Genomic DNA, 8,670 nt, shown 5'->3' with positions numbered 1-8,670 from the left:
CAAGTATGGCTTTAAAATACTTCTTTTTGGCCCAGGGAGAAAAATACTTTTTATTTTAACCTCCAAGTTTCATCGAGTAGATTAGTTATTTCTGTAGTTTGGTAATGCCCATTATTTGAGAATCTGATAACATCCAGGACTTCACCATATAATTCAGTCACTTGAAAGCCGTGAATTTCTGGCTGTACTAAAAAGCTTTCAACACTAGGGTTAGGTGTTCCTATGAAGACAAATAAAATTCCACATTTTTAAAAACCACCTTTGGCCGGGCGTGGTGGCTAACGCCTGTAAAATCCCAGCACTCTGGGAGGCTAAGGTGGGCAGATCACGAGGTCAGGAGATCGAGACCATCCTGGCTAACATGGTGAAACCCTGTCTCTACTAAAAAAAAAAAAATACAAAAAATTAGCCAGGCATGATGGTGGGCGCCTGTAGTCCCAGCTATTCGGGAGGCTGAGGCAGGAGAATGGGGTGAACCTGGGAGGCGGAGCTTGCAGTGAGTGGAGATCCTGCCATTGCACTCCAGCCTGGGTGACAGAGCAAGACTCCGTCTCAAAAAAATAAAAAAATGAAAATAAATATATAATAAAAACCACCTTTGAATTTAAAAATAGTTTTAATGTTGGAGCTAGCCCAGTTGTATGAGTGTGCTGAAGAAGCCAGTCTCTGCTTGCCTTCCTATAGCTCCAATTAGACATTTTTAATTACAGTGCAATCGCTGCAACTATTCTGGGCCATTTCAACCCATCCCACTCCACGAATACTCAGCTCAGTCTTAGCATTGGACATCAGTAGCAAGCAACTAGATGCTCCCACCTCAGGAAGCTTCTAATTTTGTGGGGACTACCCCTGTTGTGCTTATTGCTAAACTTATACTTCAGTGAACCTTTCAATTCTACATAATATATTCCAACTCATTTTGTGGAATCTGATTTTTTTTTTTTTTTGCTGACTTTCCTTTCACAGGTATTTAGTAAGTCAATGACGGGCAGCAGCAAGCCAGGCTTCTATTATAGTAATAATAATCAGATAACCAATAATCACTGAGGATTCTGTACATTCCAAAGCCATGCCAGGGGTCAAGAGCAAATACTTAGTGTCCTTACTATGTACAGGGCACTATTCTAAACATTTGGCTTATATTAACAGATTTAATCCTCACAGTTCAATATGCATGAACATTATTTTTCAGATGAGGAATCTGAGATGAAAGAGATTAAGAAAACTGCCCAAGGTTATGCTAACGAGCCTTAAAACTGGGATTTCAGCCTAGGCAGTGTGGCACCAGAGGTCTGATCATGACCATGAAGTGATAAACACAAGTATCCTCTAAGTTAGGTATCATCGTCTTAATTTTCCAGGGCAGGAAACTGAAGTTGAAGGATTTAAGAAAATGTGGTAGTAACTGGAGTTGTTTATGAATCTTCCCGTTCTCCTCTGGCACATGAGAAGATTGTGATACAGGATTTTTTGCTCCTTAGTTTAGCTAAATCCAGTTCTTGTCTTACAACCAGGAAAAATTAGGCACACAGAGACATCGAAGACTGAGGAGGATGGAATTTATTAAGTGAAAAGAAAGCTCCCAACAAAGAGAGGGGTCCTTCATGCAGGTTTCCACCTCACAAAAATTGAATGGCAGGCCACCACACGTGAGTTGAAGAGGCCAGGCTCTTTCCCCTCATAATTCATGAATTCCTGGTGGCTCCACCCATTCTCCTAGTGGTTGTGGGGCATGCCCAGACAAGCCCCCTGTGCTGGCTCCCATATCTGCACAAAGCATCTGGTGTAAAGACTTGTGGGTCGGGTTGGAGATGTGGCTGTGTCCTGCCTCTATCAATTGCACTTCTCTACATCTTCTGAGGTTAGGTGTGGCTGTGTGACTTGTTTTCATCAATGAAATGTGAACAGAAGAGCCAGGGAAGTATTAAGAGCTTGTGTGCCCTTCCTTCTGTGTTGGTGAGAGGTTTTTCAAGACGGAGGCTTTGTCACCTTGATCCTTGAGTGACTAGACTGGATAGTGCCCCTCTGCTGACTGCTGTTGGACACATTGGTTAATTGATAAACTTCTGAGATTCAAGGCAGGGTTGGAGGAAGGAGACTATTTGTAACCACACGTAATCTTGTCTAACTTAATTTGCCTAAATATCTTTCACACACTCTTAAGCTTGTTGGTGCCAGGTATTTATCTGGAATCGAGGGCTCTCTGACTTAACAATCCATGGTTTTTTCATTTATTTCCTCTCTTTTGGTATCATATGACCTGCAGGAACCCAAATTTCATTCTTTTGCTTGCCTTTTAATTTTATGATAGTAATGAAAGTGCCTAAAAAATTCAATCTGATGTCTATGGTTAGTCTAAGATTAAGATTAAGAAAATGTAGAGGAAAAATCTGTCATTCTCTGGCCTACATGTTTGGTCTGGAGCTTTAATATGATGATCTGCAGGATTAGGAGAAATTTTCCTGGCTTGCTTAATCCCGAGATTCAAGTTCTAGCAAACAACCGTCAGCAATAATGTTAGCTAAAGAATGCTAATATGTCCTAAATGTTACTCATATTTCTCACTGTGCTTATAGTTTTCATGGTGTGAGCTGCTACAAGAGTTCACCCTTTTTTAGGTTGTCACTCAGACATTCTGTAAAGTAATTCCATCATCCATATATATATATATATATATATATATATATATATATATATATATATATATGTATGTATGTTACTGAAACGCCATGGGTTCATCTGGGTCCTGCCGCTTGCTGCACAGAAAGCCAGTGACTGAGACGAAGAGTACTGCCAAGGAAGAAGGCTTTAATCTGATGCTGCAGCCAAGGAGATGGGAGCTCAGTCCCAAATCCATCTCCCTGACCAACTAAAACTAGGGGTTTATATAGCAGGGTCTTCCCTGCTATGTAACAATGTGTAAGAAAACAAGAACTAGAGAGGAGGGGTAACGAAGCAATCATGATGAATGAAGGGTCTGGCATCTCATTGTCTGGATGTGGTGATCTGGTGAGTTTCAGTTCTTTAATTTTCTTTTTCTTTTGAGAGGTCTGAATGTGGTTTCCTGAGGAAGGAACTCTGATAAAACAAATGTAAGTTTCAAATTTTAAAACCAGATGGGCAATTTCTATGTTTATCCAAAAAAAACTGTCTAGGGGACTATTGGGTCGGTTTCATATATATATAAAATCACTTTATGTACACAACACCAAATTATCCGGGTTCATATGTTTAAATTTAGAATTGTGGGGATTTCCCAATCTACCAGCTGAGTATGCTCAACAGGTTAGCTGGATAGCATTGACTATCATGACAGTGAACAACAGAGAATCACATGCAACTCTGAGTCTTTCCTGAGGAGTATCTTCCTGAAACTAAATGAATAGAAGATTCTGAGAACCTTGCTTTTTCCATTATTTGATTATGGAATGACCTATGGGGCAATACATGTTCATGTAATATGGAAAAAACAAAAAGAAGGCTTTAACCGCTTAATTAGCAGGCCTAATTTTTTAGAGTTGGGATTCTCTCTTTCTTTTACTTGCTGAAAATTGACTGTTTGGTTACTTTCACTTTATAAGTTTACTTTATTCATTTAATCACAAAATTCCTAAGCATTCAGTGACTCATAAAGTAGATTATTTGTTTATAATCCTGCCTCATTCTAGAAATGACTAAAGGCAATAAAGTTATGTTTAACCTTGGCAAATATTGGTTAAATGATACTAAGCTAACTTTTTTGGGATGAACTATACAGTGAATAGATTATGTAGGATTGGGATGTTTTTATTTTAATTTAGAAATAATTATAGATTTATAGGAAGTTGCAAAAATTGTTTGGAGAGATCCTATGTACCTTTCACCCAGGTTCCCCCAGTGGTCACATTTTACAACATTTGCTACAGCACAGTAGCAAGACCAGGAAACTGACATTGGTACAATTGTGTGTGTGTGTGTGTGTGTGTGTGTGTGTGTGTGTGTAGTTCTACACCATGTTATTACATGCATAGATTCTTGTAACCACCACTGCAGTTAATATACAAATTAGTATACAGATTACTTTTGCTATATCATTTTTTTCTAAAATCTAAAGACATGAAACTTTTTTGAATCTTAAAGGGATGAAGCCCTTCTTGGTGACTTGAACAGCATCATCATTTTCTGTTGGTAATAACAACTAGCAAATAAAGCTTAGATGAAACTTACACTCCTGTGTAAAGTGTAGCTCTTCCAGTAGGTCCTGTGTTTAGTCTAATATCTACTTAATTACAGTAAGTGTTCAGGCTTTTTGTTGTTCTATTTGTTTTGCGAGCAGGGATTTGATATAAATCTAAATACGACAAGCTTTCGTTAAAAAAAATATTGACCTTCCATTTAGAACAATGTGGTCTTTCACTGTATTGAGCTTATGTGGATGTATATTACTGTAGAAGAATTTTACAGGAGATAAATTCCTATGAAATATTCTCATTGCTATCTTAATTAGAAATAATCTTTTTATGCCCCCACTGTAGGTGGTAAGTCCCCCATGTTCAGTGAATATACTTGCGATTAGGTCATAGTCTATTATTAGGAACATACAGGCAGCCAACTGGCAAATGGATTGTTATCCTGCCTAAGGAGAAGAGAAAAAAATTAAGGTAAAATTAAAATGCCAATACATGCTGAGAAAGAGCTAATAGAAAGCATGTGACATTATGTACACTGGTGATACTCAAATGAAACAATGGAACCTATTAAAAGGTACCTATGTGGATTTTATTCTTTGAGAAATGGACTAGGGTAGGGGGTAGAAAGGCAGGGAAAGAATGAAGACAGTGTATTGAAAGAGAAGATTGTTTGACCCATTTATCTGAAATAAAAATCCTAAGTTTTATAAGATCCTCAAATATTTGGCTACATTTTCAGGTAGATGTGCATGCATAAATGTTAAATGGCTAAAAGAAAATGGGTTATAGTCTACCAATAGTGTGTCACATAGCTTTAAAAGTACTGCTTTAAAAATCATCAATTTAGAGGGAGGATTTGGGTGGCAAGCAACAGGACTCTGCTTTCAATCCTGTCCTACACCACATTTTAATTTTTATTAAAATGAAAACATTGTTGGAATTATGATTTATTTTTTAAAAGAAGCAAACAGTGTTACAGTAGATGAATCAAGGTCCAAGTGAAATCTCAGCAGCCTGAAAGGATGGGCAGGGTTGGATACAAAGAAATTGAATTGGTATAAATATGGAAGTCCAGCTCCTGGAGTCAGACAGCTAATTGCACAAGGACTTCATGGGGGACATGTGACTTACCATCACATGTGGAAAAAGACTTGTGAATTTTCCTAACCACTACCTATGTGGCCCACAGAGTGACATGATGTTCCAAAAAACGAATACAACCTGTATGCGATCGTAGACACATACACCACACCCCAAAACATGCTACACAGGATATAATTTTCAAAGTAGGACAACAAACTGCCTACTTTATTTTAAGTTGGCATTTTCCAAGTAGTTCTGTGTTCATTACTGCACAATAGAGGTATAAGTAAAGCAGGGCATGTCTAAAACAATGTGGCCATTTGATGAAGGGCACTCGAAAATGTATGATTGAGCCAATCACAGATACTGAGGAAACTTGAGGCCAGGATTTTGAGGCTGCAGTGTGCTACGATTGTGCCTGTGAATGACCACTGCATTTCAGCGTGGGAAACATGGCAAAACCTCATCTCTTAAAAAAAATTAAATTAAAAATGTATTATGGAAAACCATGGTGCATTGCTGTCTTCAATAATAAAGGACTAGAGCAAGGATAGAGGCTTAGATTTAAACTTTGTTTGCTCCAACCCTTGAAGATACATAGAAGCAGAATTCAATACAACATAATTTTTAGCCATATTTAGAGAATCCAAAAATGAAGCAGGCTCATTTGGAGGCAGTGAGTCCCTTATTACTGGAAATATTCGAGCAGGAATTTCAGTAGCCACTGAGCAATGGAAATGTTAGTTTCTTCAACCCTGAAATTTTATTAAATGTGTATCAGCAAATCGCAGGTGTACCACTTACCTCATTCTTGAGTAGCACTTAACTTCTATGGGCCTCAGTTTTCTCTCATTTAATGGACTGAGGGGTGATAATAACTTACAAAGCTGTTAGAAAAATTAAAATGAAGTTAAAGAACAATACAGGGCCAGCGTGGTGGCCCACGCCTGTAATCCCAGCACTTTGGGAGGTCGAGGCGGGTGAATCATAAGGTCAGGAGTTTAAGACCAGCCTGGCCAAGATGATGAAACCCCATCTCTACTAAAACTACAAAAATTAGCTGGATGCAGTGGCAGACAACTGTAATCCCAGCTACTCAGGAGGCTGAGGCAGGAGACTCATTTGAACCCAGGTGGCAGATGTTGCAGTGACCCAAGATTGTGCCACTGCACTCCAGCCTGGGTGACAGAGTGAGAGCCTGTCTCAAAAAACAAAAAACAAAACAAAAAAAAAACAGTAACAGTATCCTGATTCCAAATCTCCTCCTCACATCCCTCAAATAAACATAAGATCCACAAGGAGAACAAATGAAACTATACAGGACCTAAGAATTAAGGATTGTTAAGAGATAGAAAACACTGCAACCCTGATGACACCTTGATTTCAACATTGTGAAACCAGAGCAGAAAACCAAGCAAGCCAACTTAACCTCTGACCTACAGGAACATACAAGTATTACATGAAGACCAACATGAAGAAAACTACCGACTCTGCTGAGACCACAAACTCCTGGTACAAACATGAAATGAATGCATGTGATACGTTCTGGACAAATAATTGATTACACTGTGTATTAGTCTGTTCTCATGCTGCTAATTAAAGACATACCTGAGACTGGATAATTTATAAAGGAAAAAAGTTTTAATGAACTCATAGTTCCACGTAGCTGGGGAGGCCTCACAATCATGGTGGAAGGTGAAAGACACGTCTTACGTGGTGGCAGGCAAGAGGGAATAAGAGCCAAGTGAAAGGGGAAACCCCTGCTAAAGCCATCAGATCTCATGAGACTTACCCACTACCACAAGAACAACATTATGGGGGAACTGCCCCCATGATTAAATTGTCTCCTAACGGATCCTTCCCACAACACATGGGAATTAGGGGAGCTACAATTCAAGATGAGATTTGGATGGAGACACATCCAAACCATATCCCACCAAAGTTAATTTAGTTTTAAAAAAATAGGTGAGAAAACAATAGGTAAAAACAGTCAAGAAGGTTTTGACAAAATTATATTGAAGGAGACAAGCCATACCCAGATATTGAAAAGTTCTTCAAAGTTACAATAATTAAAATGACACAGTGTTGACTCAGGTATAGACAAACACATTAGTGAAATGGAAAAGAGAGCCTACAAATAAAATCATGTATATGATATAGATAGCTATAAACCAATAGATAAAGAATAAACTATTTGATAAATAGTACTAGGACAGTTGATTAACTACTGGGGGAAAATGTTAGATCTTTATATTATATTGCAAAGTAAATTGTAGCTAGATTAAAGAGTTAAATATTTTCAAAAGGCCAAATAGGTGTATGTTTATGTCATCTGAAGATGGAGGAGAACCTTCCAAGCATTAGAGCAATATTTTAAAATCCACAAGAAAATGGACTAATATAAAGATAATTAAAACCTTACCTATCTGAATATGCCAAACAAAATATGAAAACACATAATTTGGGGAAAGACCTGCAAACTTAAGACACAGAGAGGATTTATTGTCATAATATCTGAGGCATACATCATTAAGATAGACTTTAGTAGAAAAATGGGAAAATAAATGCTAATTCACAAAAGAAGACATTCAAATAACTAATAAAATGCTTAAAAGTTTTAACACCAGACCTGGGCAAGATGACAGAATAGGAACAGCTCTCATCTGCAGCTCCCAGTGATATCAACACAGAGGCGGGTGATTTCTGCATTTACAACTGAGGTACCTGGCTCATCTCATTGCGACTGGTTAGACAGTGGGTACAGCCCACGGAGGGCAAGCTGAAGCAAGGTGGGGCTTTGCCTCACCCAGGGAGTGCAAGGGGTCGGGGAATTCCCTCTCCTAGCCAAGGGAAGCTGTGAGGGACTGTGCTGTGAGAAATGGTACATTCCGGCTCAGATACTTCGCTTTTCCCATGGTCTTCGCAACCTGCAGATCAAGAGATTCCCTCAGGTGCCTACACCACCAGGGCCCTGGGTTTCAAGCACAAAACTGGGTGGCCATCTGGGCAGACACTGAGCTAGCTGCTGTTTGTTTTGTTTTGTTTCTTTTCATACCCCAGTGGTGCCTGGAACGCCAGCAAGACAGAACCGTTTACCCCCCTGGAAAGGGGGCTGAAGCCAGGGAGCCAAGTGGTCCAGCTCAGCGGATCCCACCCCCACAGATCCCAGCAAGCTAAGATCCACTGGCTTGAAATTCTTGCTGCCAGCACAGCAGTCTGAAGTCGACCTGGGGTGCTGGAGCTTGGTGGGGGGAGGGGTGTCCACCATTACTGAAGCTTGAGTAGGCAGTTTTCCCCTCACAGTATAAACAAAGCCTCCAGGAAGTTCGAACTGAGTGGAGCCCCCTGCAGCTCAACAAAGCTGCTGTAGCCAGACTGCCTCTCTAGATTACTCCTCTCTGGGCAGGACATCTCTGAA

At 39.4% G+C, this 8,670-nt stretch overlaps 3 annotated features.

The window, feature by feature from the left end:
* Positions 1,126-2,325: an enhancer, noted in NCBI's record as "MED14-independent group 3 enhancer chr6:72077050-72078249 (GRCh37/hg19 assembly coordinates)". NCBI's record gives its function as "activates an origin of replication core promoter dependent on BRD2, BRD4, P300/CBP and CDK7 cofactors, and independent of MED14, by STARR-seq in HCT116 cells {active_cell/tissue: HCT116}" and the evidence as "EXISTENCE:reporter gene assay evidence [ECO:0000049][PMID:35650434]".
* Positions 7,337-7,826: an origin of replication, noted in NCBI's record as "reported as EcoRI/HincII fragment; promotes replication of a plasmid". NCBI's record gives the evidence for it as "EXISTENCE:genetic transformation evidence [ECO:0005027][PMID:7690594, PMID:10653986]".
* Positions 7,340-7,752: an origin of replication, noted in NCBI's record as "site of nascent strand synthesis determined by PCR of size-fractionated nascent DNA". NCBI's record gives the evidence for it as "EXISTENCE:fractionation evidence [ECO:0000100][PMID:9356241]".

This window comes from Homo sapiens, chromosome 6 (assembly GCF_000001405.40).
Source record: "Homo sapiens chromosome 6, GRCh38.p14 Primary Assembly".
Lineage (NCBI taxonomy): Eukaryota > Metazoa > Chordata > Mammalia > Primates > Hominidae > Homo > Homo sapiens.
This window is presented reverse-complemented; position numbering and strand designations above follow the sequence as displayed.